Below are 17,737 nucleotides of genomic sequence, written 5' to 3'. Positions count from 1 at the left end.
GAGGCTTGAGTAGGCAGTTTTCCCCTCACAGTGTAAAGAAAGCCGCCAGGAAGTTCGAACTGGGTAGAACCCTCCACAGCATGGCAAAGCTGCTGTAGCCAGACTGCCTCTCTAGATTCCTCCTCTCTGGGCAGGGCATCTCTGAAAGAAAAGCACCAGCCCCAGTCAGGGGCTTATAGATGAAACTTCCATCTCCCTGAGACAGATCACCTGGGGGAAGGTGCGGCTGTGGGCGCAGCTTCAGCAGACTTAAACGTTCCTGCCTGTCAGCTCTGAAGAGAGCAGTGGATCACCAAGCACAGCACTTGAGCTCTGCTAAGGGATAGACTGACTCCTCAGGTGGGTCACTGACACCTATGCCTCCTGACTGGGAGACACCTCCCAGCAGGGGTAGACAGACACCTCATATAGGAGAGCTCCAGCTGGCATCTGGCGGGTTCCCCTCTGGGACGAAGCTTCCAGGGGAAGGAGCAGGCAGGAATCTTTGCCATTCTGCAACCTCTGCTGGTGATACCCAGGCAAACAGGGTCTGGAGTGGACCTCCAGCAAACTCCAGCACACCTGCAGAAGAGGGGCCTGACTGTTAGAAAGAAAACTAACAAACAGAAAACAATAGCATCAACATCAACAGAAAAGACACCCATGCAAAAACCCTATCTGGACGTCACCAACATCAAAGATCAAAGGTAGATAAATCCACAAAGATGAGGAAAAGCCAACAAAACAGGCTGAAAATTCCAAAAACCAGAATGCCTCTTCTCCTACAAAGGATCACAACTCCTTACCAGCAAGGGAACAAAAATGGATGGAAAATGAGTTTCATGAATTGACAGAAGTAGGCTTCAGAAGGTGGATAACAACAAACTCCTCCGAGCTAAAGGAGCATGTTCTAACCTAAGGAAAGGAAGCAAAGAGCCGGGCCTTGATAAATGTTACAGGAACTGCTAACTAGAATAACCAGTTTAAAGAAGAACATAAATGACTTGATGGAGCTGAAAAACACAACACAAGAACTTCATGAAGCATACACAAGTATCAATAGTCGAATAGATCAAGCAGAAGAAAGGATATCAGAGATTGAAGATCAACTTAATGAAATAAAAGGTGAAGACAAGATTAGAGAAAAAAGAATAAAAGGAACGAACAAAGCTTCCAAGAAATATAAGACTACATGTAAAGACCAAACCTACATTTGATTGGTGTACTTAAAAGTGACAGGGAGAATGGAACCAAGTTGGAAAACACACTTTAGGATATTATCCAGGAGAACATCCCCGACCTAGCAAGGCAGGCCAACATTCAAATTCAGGAAATACAGAGAACACCACAAAGATACTCCTCGAGAAGAGCAACCCAAAGACACATAATCGTCAGATTCACCAAGGTTGAAATGAAGAAAAATATGTTAAGGGCAGCCATAGAGAAAGGTCGGCTTACTCACACAAAGGGAAGTCCATCAGACTAACAGCAGATCTCTCTGCAGAAACCTTACAAGCCAGAAGAGAGTAGGGGCCAATATTCAACATTCTTAAAGAAAAGAATTTTCAACCCAGAATTTCATATCCAGCCAAACAAAGCTTCGTAAGCGAAGGAGAAATAAAATTCTTTACAGACAAGCAAATGTTGAGGGATTTTGTCAACACCAGGCCTGCTTTATAAGAGCTCCTGAAGGAAGCACTAAGTATGAAAAGGAAAAACCAGTACCAGCCACTGTAAAAACATATCAATCTGTAAAGACCATGGACACTATGAGGAAACTGCATCAACTAATGGGCAAAATAAGCAGCTAGCATCGTAATGACAGGATCAAATTCACACATAACAATATTAACCTTAAATGTAAATGGGCTAAATGCCCCAATTAAAAGAACAGACTGCCAAATTGGATAACGAGTCATGCCCCCTCTGTGTGCTGTATTCAGGAGACCCATCTCATGTGCAAAGACACACATAGGCTCAAAATAAAGGAATGCAGGAATATTTACCAAGCAAATGGAAAGCAAAAAAAAAAAAGCAGGGGTTGCCATCTTAGTCTCTTATAAAACAGAATTTAAACCAACAAAGATCTAAAAAAGACAAAGAAAGGCACTACATAATGGTGTAGAGATCAATGAAACAAGAAGAGTTAACCATGCCAAATATATATGCACCCAATACAGGAGCACCTAGGTTTATAAAACAAGTTCTTAGAGACCTACAAAGAGACTTAGAGTCCCACATAATAATAGTGGGAGAGTTTAACACTGCATTGCCGATATTAGACAGACCAACGAGAAAGAAAATTAACAAGGATATTCAGGACTTGAACTCAGCTCTGGACCAAGCAGACCCAATAGACATCCACAGAACTCTCCACTACAAACCAACATAATATACATTCTTCTCAGCACCACATAGCACTTATTCTAAAATCAACCACATAATTGGAAGTAAAGCACTCCTCAGCAAATGCAAATGAATGGAAATCATAACAAACAGTCTCTCAGACCACAGTGCAATCAAATAGAACTCAGGATTAAGAAACTCATTCAAAACAGCATAACTACAGGGAATATGAACAACCTGATCCTGAATGACTACTGGGTAAATAATAAAATTAAGGCAGAAATAAATAAGTTCTTTGAAACCAATGAGAACAAAGACACGCTGTACCAGAATCTCTGGGACACAGATAAAGCGCTGCTTACAGGGAAATTTATAGCACTAAATGCCCACATGAGAAAGCAGGAAAAATCTAAAATTGACACCCTAAAATCACAACTAAAAGAACTAGAGAAGCAAGAGCAAACAAATTCAAAAGCTAGCAGAAGAGAAAATATAACTAAGATCAGAGCAGAACTGAAGGAGATAGAGAACTAAAAAACCCTTCAAAAAATCAGTGAATCCAGGAGCTGATTTTTTTAAAAACATTAACAAAATACATAGGCCACTAGCCAGACTAATAAAGAAGAAAGGAGAGAAGAATCAAATAGACACAATAAAAATAATAGAAGGGATATCACCACTGATCCCACAGAAATACAAACTACCATCAGAGACTATTATAAGCACTTCTTTGCAAATAAACTAGACAATCTAGAAGAAATGGATAAATTCCTGGACACATGCACCCTCCCAAGACTAAACCAGGAAGAAGTCAAATCTCTGAATAGACCAATAACAAGTTCTGAAATTGAGGCAGTAATTAATAGCCTACCAACCAAAAGAAGCCCAGGAGCAGATGGATTCACAGCCACATTCTACAAGAGGTACAAAGGGGAGCTGGTACCATTCCTTTTGAAATTATTCAAAACAATAGAAAAAGAGAGACTCCTCCCTTATTCATTTTATGAGGCCAGCCTTATCCTGATATCAAAACCTGGGAGAGACACAACAAAAAAAGAAAATTTCAGGCCAATATCCCTGATGAACATCACTGCAAAAATCCTCAATAAAATACTGGCAACGAATCCAGCAGCACATTAAAAAGCTTATCCACCACAATCAAGTTAGCTTCATCCTTGGGATGCAAGGCTGGTTCAACATGTGCAAATCAATAAACGTAATCCATCACATAAACAGGGTCAATGACAAAAACCACATAATTATCTCAATAGAGGCAGAAAAGGCCTTCAATAAAATTCAACAGACTTTCATGCTAAAAACACTCAGTAAACTAGGTATGGATGGAATGTATCTCAAAATAACAAGAGCTATTTATGACAAACCCACAGCCAATATCATACTGAATGGGCAAAAGCTGGAAGCATTCCCTTTGAAAACTGACACAAGACAAGAATATTCTCTCTCACCACTCCTATTCAATATAGTATTGAACATTCTGGCCAGGTAAATCAGACAAGAGAAAGGAACAAAGGGTATTCAAATAGGAAAAGAGGAAGTCAAATTATCTCTGTTTGAAGATGACATGATTGTATATTTATAAAACCCCATCGTCTCAGCCCAAAATCTCCTTAGGCTGATAAGCAACTTCAGCAAAGTCTCAGGATACAAAATCAATGTGCAAACATCACAAGCATTCCTATACAACAATAATAGACAAACAGAGAGCCAAATCATGAGTGAACTCCCATTCGTGATTGCTACAAAGAGAATAAGATACCTAGGAATACAACTTACAGGGATGTGAAGACCTCTTCAAGGAGAACTACAAACCACAGCTCAGGGAAATAAGAAAGGACACAAACAAATGGAGAAACATTCCATGTTCATCGTGGGAAGAATCAATATCGTGAAAATGGCCATAATGCCCAAAGCAATTGATAGATTCAATGTTATTCCCATCAAGCTACCATTGACTTTCTTCACAGAATTAGAAAAATCTACTTTAAATTTATATGGAATCAAAAAAGAGCCTATATAGTCAAGACAATTCTAAGCCGAAAGAACAAATCTGGAGGCATCACGCTACCTGACTTCAAACTATGCTACAAGGCTACAGTAACCAAAACAGCATGGTACTGGTACCAAAACAGATATATAGACCAATGGAACAGAACAGAGGCCTCAGAAATAGTGCCATACATCTACAGCCATCTGATCTTTGACAAACCTGACAAAAACAAGCAACGGGGAAAATATTCCTTATTTAATAAATGATGTTGGGAAAACTGGCTAGCTATATGCAGAAAACTGAAACTGGACCCCTTCCTTACGCCTTATGCAAAAATTTAACTCAAGATGGATTAAAGACTTAAACATAAGACCTAAAACCATAAAAACCTTAGAAGCAGTCCACAATATTTCTTGACAAGATGTCACCAACAATGTTTCACCAATCTTTGATGCTAATTCTGTGAGATTAGAAAGCCAAAATAAGGATAATGGAAAGATCAACATGAAAATCTTAGCTGTAGATTACAGTAAAACCAAATAGCAGCCAGGAGATATGTTCTGGAGAAACTGAAACTACCTGAAATTTCCATTTCTCCACTGTATTAGGAATTTGAGGACAGAGGTCAAAATTTTGGGGAAATAAAAATAAATAGTAACATGAATTCCACAGTGCTGATTCCATAGTCACTTGTATTTCTATGAGAAATACAATGCATGGGTTTTTTTTTTATTAGGATTGATCTTTATTTTTATTTTTACTTGTTTGAATGTGATATAGTAAATAGATGATCACATTAGGTAATGATTTTGAGGAAGTAATGTTCCCAGCACCTAAACTATTCCTGGATCTTGGGAAATTGTGATTGCATTTCTTCATTTTTAGATTACAATGAACCAAGTTACTTAAAAACAGAATATATGCTTTGAAATGTTTTGTACACAAGAGTGGGCACTGATGGTTATAGGTACAAATCACAGTTCCATGTTTAATGTTAGTCACTATTTGAAATTATCTAAATTCTCAAACCAAATCTCAACATATGCTTTTCTTACACAACAAACCAGAATTTGATTTTCATCTCATTTATCAAAATTTTACTCCATTGCCTCTATGTTTTGCAAGCCAAATATCAGGGAGGTGGGGAGTTACGCATTTAGCTTTTAAAACTAAATGTTAAAATAATCTCAAAGCATTTGATTGGATTATAAGCAATAACTCCCAAACTGAGTCAATCTAAATTATTAAAAATAATAGCTTTCATTTGCTTTTCTACTTAAAACAATGTGGTGTTAGAGAATGGAAATGTAGTATCAAGTCTGAAGAAGGCAACTTTTGAAAACAGAGGTGCTCCATCTATAGAAAAATCTTTTCAATTAAATCTGAACTATTTTATGGATGCTGAGAGTTTTCAGAACAATATAAGTTAATGGCTTAAAATTAGGACTTTAACAATATAATAACATACCATGACTAATCATTTTTTTATTCTTGTAAATAAATCATCTTGTAACTCATGAAAGTAACAGATATTGAAATGGCAACTAGGGAAATAATTTAAATTCCTTAAATTATATACATATATTAGCAAAGTGACTCAAGATTGGATTATTGGGCTACAAATGTAATTGATAAACTAAATCCATGTGGGAAGCTATTGCTCATTTGATATAAATTATTTTATTCCATGATATTTTTAGATAAGAGCCAAAAGAATTTATTAAAATTTGAATTCTACTGCTAACCATGTTTTCCTTTCAGATACACTATTTTTATCAATCTAAATTAAATTTTAGGTAAAGAAAATATTGTAAAACTTGATTGAGGGTTTTAAATGACAGGAACAAATTATTTCTATGAATAAACACTTGGTATAAAAAAATATGTAATCTTTTAGTTCATGTGTAAGCGAAGTACATTGTTAACAATAATGATTTGGGTGGTGTTTAATTTTTAATGTAGTTTCTCTGTTTACATAAATAAAAATTGTTTCATCTTATTTAAATTTCTTGGTCGTGAAATCGTGTTTTTAATATGTTTATGTGATAGTTTAAAAGAATTTGTCAAATTCACATAGTTTCTATGTGATTGACATTAAAGCTTTTATTGCTAGTACTTAATGAGAGCTTTGGATTAGATGTGTCAGAAGTACCTTCTAATTAAACAATAAAATAGAAGAGTTGATTGTAGCTGAATGGATTTTGTTAAAATACTTAAGATTTTGCTTTCAAAGAGTTATATGAAGACTTACATAATTTAGTAAGTGTAGTTCTAGTACAAGGAAGAAAGGAATAGAGAATAGAAAAAATATTTTCTTACCCTACATAAAGTTACAAATATTCTCACTGCCATATGTTATATTTCTTTTGCTTGTTTGAAGTGTCTGTACCTCTTCCTCTAAACTGTACTTGTATAGTGTCGCTTCAACCGAGAATGCATTTTTATTGACAATATGTCACAAAATGTCATTACATTCATCTTGGTATCACAATACTTTGCTGAGTGAAGCATTATAAAGAGAAGGAGAAGGGAGCTTAGAATGCAGTGTAGACAGTATCCATTGGTTTATATAGATTACCTGATGTACTTACTCAACTGAAGAAGAAAGTATTTTCTTGGGGATCTTTTTATTCCAAAATTTTTAGGACAATTTTAAAAAGTGATAGACTCTTCTTCTCTAGTTTTTAATTAAAACAGTAAATTCTCAGTAGCTTTCTATTCATTCATCTGCTCATTCATTTCAAAAATATTATTGAGTACCTATTTCAAAAAGGCATTTTCCAAGATACTTATGATAAGAGAAATGAAAGGAGCTTTCATATTTCTGGTCCCCATTGCGCAGGTAGATGGTAGTGACATTAATCCAGGTAGGGGATGCAAGAAGGGGAATAAGAATTTTTTAGCAATATTTTTCTTTGACCTCTTACTCTATTTATAACAGTTTGCTTGAGAGCCAAAAAAGTATAATAAATTAAACTTGTTAAATTAGCTTGGAAGGTCTAAAATTATATTTTTCTTGAGTTTATTTCATAAAGCTTTAATTATCAAGATATTTATGGATTTCCTCTCTCTTTGTTACTTGTAAATTTCTGTAGTTTTGAATGAGCCTGAAACTCCAAAATGAAAATCCGTATGTAACCAGCAAAAGAGTCTGACCGCTCACCACTTTTAGAAAGAAGCCAAAATAATAATAGATGTGATTAAAAAAAAAAAAAAAAAAAAAAAAAAAGAGAGAGATCAAGACTTTTTATTTGTGCCAGCAAGGGGAAGAGCAGAAAACAACTCCATTCTTCAACTTGTAGAGGGAATGCAGAGGTTTTTAGAGAAAGGGTCGCAGGTAGGTACTACGAGGTGCCAAGTGGTGTGACTCGCTCAGATGGCTCATCTTGCGTTATTGTTCCATCTGGTGAAAGGGCTGGCACCATCATGGTCCTACCAGGTTATAAATTAATTATAGTCAATCTTTCATTTATTTTTTTTTTTATTTTGTTGTTGTTGTTGAGATGGACCCAGGCTGGAGTACAGTGGCGTGATCTCGGCTCACTGCAATCTCCGCCTCCTGCGTTCAAGCGATTCTCCTGTCTCAGCCTCCCGAGTAGCTGGGATTACAGGCATGAACCACCACGCTCGGCTAATTTTTTGTATTTAGTAGAGAAGGTTTCACCATGTTGGCCAGGCTGGTCTCGAACTCCTGACCTCAGGTGATCCACCTGCCTCAGGCTCCCACAGTGCTGGGATCACAAGCGTGAGTCACAGTGTCCCGCCAATCATAGCTAATATTGTAATCAATCTTCAGCTGGGAGTTGGTTCCTGCATTGAAGTAATCTTTTGTTGGAGAGAGAATTCAGCGGTGTCTTGTCCATATCAGGATCTGACCCTTGAAGCTTCTAAGGAAATAGATGACTATATAAGTGAGTATGGTGTGTGCTTAAAAAAAATCTAGGTAAATAAATGTGCATAAGTCATGGGGGCATAAAGTGGAAAAGGGAAGGGAAAGAAAACATTTCGGGGTTGTAAGGTTTATCTCAGAGCTACATCTTGAAACTGGGTTAGGGTTAGGTGGAAAGGGGAAAGGAAAAAAAAGTTTGAAAATGCAGTTTGAGGCTAAGTTGCTAAGCTTTTCAGTTACACATATATTAAAGGAAAATATTTTACCTGACCCTATTCCAAAAAAATTAAAGACACACTAAGAAAAGTATTTTTCCCTGCAGATACTTTTAATTTGCTCTCCCATCTTATTTAATTTTCTTTGGTAGTGTCAGATTCTAGATCTTAGGAAAAAGTTATTTAATCTCTTCAGGCTTAGATATTTTTTCTTTCAACTTTAGCAAGACATATAATATTTACAATTACAGTAGTACACAATTTCGTGAAATTGTTTAAATGTAGTAGTAATGCTCATAATATACGGTAGATTTGCATTAAACTAAACACATCTCCCTTTTATTTCACATGGTTACTAGAGTTGTAAGTAAGGGACACATCTAGAATAACTGAACTTGATCATACCATAAAATGTGCCTCCACAGTGTCTTGTGCATATAAAACCGTAAAATAATTTATTTTTCTTTCAATTTGTGATATACTTTAACACATAGATGGTGCTTAATCCCTCTGACTCTCTCATCAATCAAAGAATATGGATCAAGGGCACTATGAGGCCACAGTACTGGAAGACAGACACTTTAGATACAAATGAAGATTAAATCTTCCTATATTCACATAACGGGACCAATTTTAATTCCCTCTTTTAAACTGTGCTTTATAGCTGATACAGGAAGAAGGAGAACAAGAAAGATCAGGAGAAAGAGATGGAGGCACAGGAGGAACAGGTGGAAGAAAAAGGGGAGGAGGAGAAGGAGAAGGAGAAGAAAAAAAAGAAAAAGAAAAAAGCACTTGTAATGGGCTAAGTAATTTTCAGGCATCACTAAATTATATTTAATCCTCATTAGAAAATGATATTATTATTGTAACTTAAAATGATAATTAGTGTTGTAATATTCACTATATGCTAGAAATGTTCTAAGGAATTTACATGTGTTAATTGAATGTAATTTTGCAATAATAAGTAGGTACTATTGTTATTCTCAATGCTGTAGTCATCATAATGCTATATTGCACAGTATTCATTAAAAGTGTAGACTCTGAACTTCCTCCATAGGACGAGAGAAATAAGCAGGCATTCCCAGGTATGACTTTTCTTTCTATTATGTAATCTTATCTTTCTTATTGTCTCAATCTTTGCAGGGGTCACTGCTCATTTATTCCCCAAAATGTAAAAACCCAAAGACTGTGTGACTGCATCAGACTTATTGAATTGTTGAGCTACCAAAAGAGAAATAAAACATGGAATGGCAATGTTTTATGCTAATGAACATAATGTTCATATTAATGGCTATTAATATGACTGTCTTGGGGAACAACTGAAAGGGAAAAAAGTAGATCTTTAAAACAGATGCACTTACATATACATTAATTTCTAGCCCTTTGTAATGTCTTTAGCTATGCCACCTATGGAAATACTGCCTCCTTCTTCAAAATTCCTTAGCATTGAATCTTTACCTGTCTTTAAAGAAACCCCTAGGGTTGTTGCAGTTCAAGCTCACCCTTAGGCATGAATGTATATGCTGCAGCTTATTCTGTTATTCAACTTAAGCCCTTCAAGTATAGCTCTCTGAATTTTCTCTGCCAAAAAAAGTAGATATGCAGGCTCATTCTTTTTGACTGTAAGTTAACTAGGACTTAACACAAAGCAAGTAAACACATGTGCATGTGTACACACATTTCTAAAGGAAAAATATAATTCTCAGAAATAGGACTATGACAACTCATTAAAAAAATTCTTTCTGTATTGTATACATTTAAGGTGTATAACATCGTCTTTTGATATTCTTAACATACACATACATAATGAAGTGATTACTACAGTCAGGCAAATTAATATATTAATCATCTCATACAGTTACCCTTCTTACAGTGGAGTACCTAAAATCTACTCTCTTACCAAATTACCAGCACATAACAGTATATATTAATTATGGTCCTCATGTTGTACATTAGGTCTCTAGACATATTTACCACCATAACTGCAACTTCATAGCTTTTAACCTATGTCTTCCTATTTCTCGCTGCCTTTCACCACCTCCCAACCACTACTTTACTCTCTGCTTCTATGTATTCAATCTTTCTCTTTTTTCTTTAATTCCACATGTAAGCGAGATCATGTATCATTTTTTCTTTCATCCTTTCCTTTGTGTCTGGCTTATTTCACTTATAAAAAAGTCTTCTAGGTTCATGCATGCTGTTAAAAATGGGAGGATTTCCTTTTTTAAGGCAGAATAATATTCTGTTATTTACATAACATTTTCTTTATCCATTTATTCCTTGATGGGCACTTAGTTTGTTTTCTTATCTTGGCTTTACAAGGTGTCTTTACAAGATGTCTTTACAAGGTGCTGATTTAATATCCTTTTGTATATATTCAGCAGACGGATTGCTGGGTCACATGATAGTTCTACTTTAAATGTATTTACAGACCTCCATACTGTATTCCATTGTGGCTGCACCAATGTACATTCTCACCAACGGTGTACAGGATTCCCTTTTATCTACACCTTCACCATCACTTGTTATTTTTTGTATTTTTTATAAAAGCCATAAAGGAAAGTATTTTCTAACTGCAATGTAGTCTGCCCAGTTTCTCCTGCCCACTGCTGAGATAGAATTTTATGTTTTATAATAGTAATAATTATTATTAGCAATGGAAGCTTATTTCCGTTCATCTTTCTTTCTTTACATTGAGATTTTTAGGTACATTAGAATATATCAAAAATCAAAACACTAGAGATATCTACCCTTTGATAACAACCCCTTAGTTATACAAATATTTAAAATTATTTTTTAACTTTTTGGGCCATTTCGATTTCTCTGAGAAAGACTTCCGTGGTAAACTTAGTTTATGGGAATTAAACACTGTGAATATCCACTATATTTTCATTCAAGAAGCCCACAGGTATTATGGGAGAATTTTCTTTCACATACGTAGTTTTACAAGGCATGTATCCTATAGAGCTATTTGTTGTTGTTGTTGATTGATTCATTCATTGGAGTGCTGGTTAAAGTAGATGGTCTAATTTAGTGATGCTAAGCTAATTCTGACAAGGCGAGAAATTCTGCCTTACCTTTCTTTGAATGCTTCAAAATAGCTGGCATGTTGCTTTGCATATAGTAGAATTTTAATGACTACTTATTCATTGAAGGATGACCCATTGCCAGAATTTTGCTCTCTGAGGTGTCAATGTGAGTTGTTGATGACTGTGAGGATAATGAAGAGATTGTAGGTAGGGATCCTTAGAGGCAGCTCTTACACTCTTGCAATAATCCAGACAATAAACTACTTAGCCCTGTGTTAAGTGAAGCAATGTCAACAAGAGTGAGAAGAAATGAGGGAAAGAAACAAGGAGATAGAATTGAGTGTACTCATCAGCTGAGTGGATATGGACCCAAAGAAAGAAGAGAGACCACAAGCAATATGAAAGTTTTAAAAATGAGTGCCTGGTAGGGTGGTGATGCCTGTAACCAGAATGGACCCTGAGAGGACGTTTAAGAATTGGGGAAGATGAAGCACGTCAAGTGTTGGGTATGCTGAGTTTAAGGTGTCAACTATCACCCATATAGAAATGCCTAGCATATAAAAGTGCTCACCAGGCCAGGTGTGGTGCCTCATGGCTGTAATCCCAACACTTTGGGAGCCGAGGCAGGTGGATCACTTGAGACCAGGAGTCCAAGACCAGCCCGAGTGACATGGTAAAATCCCATCTCTATTAAAAATTAAAAAAAAATTATCTGGGTGTGGTGGCATGTGCCTGTAATCCCAGCTACTCAGGAGGCTGAGGCAAGATAATCTCTTGAACCCCAGAAGTGGAGGCTGCATTGAGCTGAGATTGCACCACTGCACGCCATCCTGGGCGACAGAGTGAGTCTGTCTCAAAAACAAAACAAAACAAGTGCTCACCTGAATTTTGTTTAAATGGGTGATAATAGAACATAGAGTTGGATTCAGTCCTTGTATCATTCACTTATTGGCAGTGTGATTTCAAACAAAGCAATTGTTTTATTGGCCATATGTTTTTGTGTTAAAAAGGCAGTATTGAAGTGCATGAGTTCTAAGTACGTTTCAGCCTTAATATTTGCTTTTCTATATGACCTTCACAGCAAATTGATAGTGCACAAATAATTTAAGATATGCAACTTCAGAACAGAGGATTTTAAAATCTCACCTTGGTTTAAATAACACAAGTCCCAGTTCTATATCCAAAACTCTTGGGGCTAGATATGTTAATAATTCTAAATTTGTCAAGTTTTATAAGGTTAATTTGATGCATATATTGTGTATTGTGTAATTCTCACAGTAGGATCAGCACTTCACATAGTAATCAAACCTTAATATATATGCAGCAAAATGTATGCATATCACTCTAAGCTAGATAAACACTATAAATAGCAATACATTTATTCAGGAAAGGTAGGTTATGTTAAAAAAAAAAGTAGTTTTCCAAAAGATTTGTGATTTTGATGCTTTTTGGATTTCAGAGTTGTGGATGATAGACTGTGTACTTGTAGTGTAGATTCATGATACATTTAATAAAATATTGTTTTCAAAGATCTTAGTTCTGTGCAAAATCTTAGTTAATTTTCTCAAATTTTACCGTTAAAATATGTTAGCATTAGATACCAGTAAGAGAGAATGTTTTCTGTTCACCTATATAAACGTGCATTAGCAAAATGCAGAATGGAAGCTATAAAAATATCTTATAATCCACATACAATGACCTTTAAAATGAATATTAGGTTGGTGCAAAACTAATTGCATTTTGCTATTCTTTTGGTTAAAACCACGATAACTTTTGGAACAACCTAATAATATAAATTGTGAAAGTAATAATGAAATCATAGTGTAAATATTAGCTGTGGAATGCATATCTGGTTAAGATATGAATATCAATAATATTATGACATTTAAACACATGAATAGATTTTAAAATCTATGCTCATTTTAGACACAGAAATTCCCAAGCCCACAGTTTTCCTCTCTTACTTAAAGTGTTCTATTCCTGAACTTCCTTGTTTACCATGCAGCTGCTACTATCCCCTTGTACATTATTAATCAATTATTTTCTATCAGGACAAATACCTGTATATAAGGACCTTTTTATGCAACTTTAAAAAAGGATACAGCCATGTTTAAGTATTCCTAAACTTTGGGCGTAATAGACACCTGGCCATTGCTAATAAATACCAATTGTTACCGTAAATACATATGAAATGAAACAATTAAATATATAAAATTGTTTAAAAACCCACCCTGTGGAGTACTGTGGAAATCACTGCAAACTCAGGAACAAATACCACTGGATCTAAATAATAATCCCCACAATGGTTCTTGGAGTTCACAACACACAAAACTACTAATAATTTTTTCATTTGAGCAATCCAATTTTCTCTTTATTTTGCCACAATTTCTATGGAAGTAAGTTAGATCTAAATAAACAATTATTTATCCAGTTATTGCATGTTGATGACGCATAAAACTAAGTTGTCCTCCAAAGAGAAATAGTATCAGAACATAAAATTTAGTTGAAGATGTTACAGAAAAAGAGTGATTTTATTATTGTTCTGGCTATAAATCAGAGTAAGAGTAATTTTTAAATATATGAAATCTTATAACAATGATAAATTTAAAAGTGCTGGTTATAAAATAAATAGATCTAGCTGAACAAATAAAAAATGTTTGCTGCCAAATAATATCTTAATTTACAGAACTTAAAACTATACACCTAAGCTCTGGAGTATTTTAGTTTTTTAAAAAAAAATTTAATGAGGCAAATACTAGTTTTTTGTTTGTGTTTTTAGTAAAAGACCCTTTAAGTCACAAAAAACAAGCTAAAAAGCTTAAATGAATTTCTGAGAAATGCAATATATATTTACCTGAACATGATTAGAAACCAAGATATTATTTTGACATATATGTGTACTTAAAGCTAATTTAAGCATATCTTCCAAAGAGTAAAATCATAAGAAAAAAAGTATTTATTCAAATAGGAAAGCCAGAAATTGAGGGTCATAACTTAACTGTCCTAGATGTCATCAAAAAAGCTGTCAGAAAACTCTACTCATCTAAGATAAAATATTTTCTTCAGTAAATGTTTTAGTTGTGTAGCCACATTTTTTTAGATTCAGGGTTTTTATACTGTAAAACAATTGTTGTATATTAAAAATATTCTTGGAATTATTTTTGCATATCTGAGATAGTGTAGTCCTGACTGAAGGAAGAAATCAACTAAAAGTTTCTTAGCATGCTTTCAACTCTGGAGGATTACAATTCCATTTAGCCTTCAGATATTTCCTCCTCAGTATGACATAAAAGCTACATCTAAAAATCTAAGTAAGTAAATCAGAATAAATATATTGAGAAGTCAAGAAGCTTTTATTTTCAATGGTATAACCTAACAGTCTTTTATCTAGCGTCTGAATAGTACCTGGCATAATACTTAGAATAGTATAGACATCAATGAAGTCTGATTGCATGCAGAAAATATACTTGGTCTCAATCAGAGTTTAAATGTCAATCTCCAAAATGTAATGAGTTTCACAATCGATTCATCATGGAATTGTCCAGAAACAATAAGTGTATAGAAAATTTGCTGTATACTGTCCCTCAAACAAGGGAGTTAATATATGTTTCATGCAAGTTGATTCTTTTCCTTTAACTTCAGAGATTTTTTGTAAGCTAACATCTCTTCTGAAGACAGATTGATAATAACTTATGACTTTGAGGTCTTAGGCCAGTCTATGATATTATTGCCAGTTCAGAGAAAATTGTCTTTTGAATGACGTGCAATCTAACCTTCAACACTAATCATTTAGTAGGCCTAGCTAGTGTGGAGTTCAGATATTAAGAATACCCAGATTATAGATGCTATTCTTTTAACTCCCTCTTCTTGAAAAACCAAATCTATGCTTTAAGATTCATATCGAAACTCTATTAAAAAAATGAAGGGCGAGTCAATGAACTTTCATGTTTCTGTATAGAATTTATACCCCAAATACAGCAAGAATAAAACTTAGAAAAATATTATGAATGTTTTATGGTCATTCAAAATCTATTTAATATAGTAAAAAATTGCCTATGTTTTTACAAGGTGGAAATATTGTCATTTATACAGCAAAAATATATTTTTGTGTTTTAGTCAGTGTTTAAGAAAATCTTGCAAAATTGAAGATGTATAACCTTCCATCTAGACACTTGATTTAAAAATAATATTAAAGTATCACTTCACAGAACAAGTTTTCTCACTTGCATACGCATGTGATGATGGCAGATGGAGAAATGTCTAATGAAACTACTGATTAAAGACCAACTTCAAGGATATTTGAAAGAAAGATACTTTAAAATATATAGATCTTAATTATTTTAATGTCTACTTCCAAAAGAAATCCAAAAGTCTCTGTCTTCTCATGTTTTCCTTGAAGAGAAAGTTCTATTTTAATAGGAAATATGCATAAATCCTTTTTAATGGTTAGTATAATTTTCTTCACAAATGGAATGATAGAATTCTGACTAGTATTATATTTGCTTTACATTTCTTTTTAACACCCGTTTAACCACAAATATCGGCAAACAAAGCTATTCAGATTAACTAAAACATTTCATCTACAACTTCAAATATTTTTTAGGTGAAAATTCATCTAAAGGGTTTGCTTCCTTATTTTAAAAAGTATTAACATTTCCCTGTTAGCTTATTTCTTTATATCTTGCTTGATTGCTTTATTTTCAAGAAAGTGTCATACTACAAAGAGTACAATTACCTTCAATAAAGAATAAAACATCATGAGGATAAATTGCAACTGTATCAATAGGAATTGGTAACTAGTATAGAAATATGATTCTTGCCCAGGGGAATAGTTAAAGTTGAATTGAGTTGATAGGAAGAAAATCCAAAGCAAGAAAAGCAAATCTGAATTCTCGTTAAATATTTTTTGGAAATAGAATTGAAAACAAAATTTTATCCCAGTTCAGAAATCCTCTGCAGAAAGGTAGTAGAGAAAGAAAACCTTTTTTATCGTTGTATATGTAAACATTACACTAGACTGTAATGAGCATCACAGGCAATCTGCTAGGAGATTATAAAAACAGAAATCTCACTCTTTATTAATAGATAGCCAAGAAGATACAACCCATTACCTATATGTTTTCAAGATACACAATAACTAGCTCTCAAATAAGAGGACTTGAAAACATCATTTGTCATACATAACCCACCTTAACTTTACGTGGTAATTAAAATGTCTGCCTGTGTTAGCTAAATAGTTTTACCTGAAAACGTACATACATACACACACACACACACACACACACACACACACACACACACACACACACCATTTTCTTATGACAGTAGGTAGTTTTGCAACTTGGGGCAAGGTGATCTCCATGAAAGCTAGGTTCCTATCCATCCGCAGAAACTGGCAGATAGGGGTGCTATCTTCCTGGATGGTTGTATATTAAAGAAATTGCTCCCAGGCTCTTGAGAAAGACATTATTGGGTCATGAAAGGCCAACAAAGGCCTATGTAGTCTTCAAAAGGATTTATATGCATTTCAAAGAGTTGAGAAAATACACATTTTTTTTCAAGCTAAAATGCTCTGAAAAAACAAAGAAGAGATAAAAATCTTTCATTTCTAACAGGAAAAAATCAAACCTCTTATTTTTAGTATGCATTTGTCCTAACAATACAAACTACTAAGATTTATTGAAAATAAATCATTAAAAGAGAAGTACTGATTTTTTAAGAATTATTAAAATCAAACTTAAAAAGCAAGTTTACTATGTCCCTTAATTCTTAAATATAAGCAAATTTGAAATTATATTCATTATTTCCACAAGAGATGCTGTAACCGCCCAAGGGGTTCACCTTGCCTGCTGCCTAGAAAAAGCCGATTCATCAAGACAGGAGAAAGGCAATGGCGAAAGAGTAATTCACGCAGAGCCAGCTATGCCGGAGACCGGAGTTTTATTATTACTCAAATCAGTCTCCTGGAGCATTTGGGGACCAGAGTTTTTAAGGATAATTCGGCGGGTGTGGGCTCCGAAAGTGGGGAGTGCTGACTGGTGGGGTTGAAGATGAAATCATAGGGGGTCGAAGTGAGTTCTTGCTGAGTTCTGGGTGGGATCGCAGAACTGGTTGAGCCAGATTATCAGTCTGAGTGGTGTCATCTGCTGCATCGGAATGCAGGGTCTGCAAAATATCTCAAGCACTGATCTTAGGTTTTGCAATAGTGATGTTACTCCTAGGAGGAATTTGGGGAGTTCTAGACTCTTGCAGCCAGGGGCTGCATGGCCCC

At 34.7% G+C, this 17,737-nt stretch overlaps 1 long non-coding RNA gene across 1 annotated transcript in view, besides 1 other annotated feature; it reads right to left on the bottom strand.

The window, feature by feature from the left end:
- The window catches only part of LINC02465 (long intergenic non-protein coding RNA 2465), a 183,750-nt gene that overhangs the window by 7,576 nt on the left and 158,437 nt on the right, over positions 1 to 17,737 (bottom strand). The gene's annotated exons all lie outside the window — the stretch shown is intronic.
- Positions 5,566 to 5,735: an enhancer, noted in NCBI's record as "experimental_74204 CRE fragment used in MPRA reporter constructs". NCBI's record gives its function as "activates a minimal promoter by MPRAs in K562 erythroleukemia cells, with activity observed for both the introgressed and non-introgressed 4:130863298 variant alleles {active_cell/tissue: K562}" and the evidence as "EXISTENCE:reporter gene assay evidence [ECO:0000049][PMID:34662402]".

This window comes from Homo sapiens, chromosome 4 (assembly GCF_000001405.40).
Source record: "Homo sapiens chromosome 4, GRCh38.p14 Primary Assembly".
In the NCBI taxonomy this organism is placed as follows: Eukaryota; Metazoa; Chordata; class Mammalia; order Primates; family Hominidae; genus Homo; species Homo sapiens.
The sequence above is the reverse complement of the archived record's forward strand: the minus strand, read 5'-3'. Positions and strand labels throughout refer to the sequence as shown.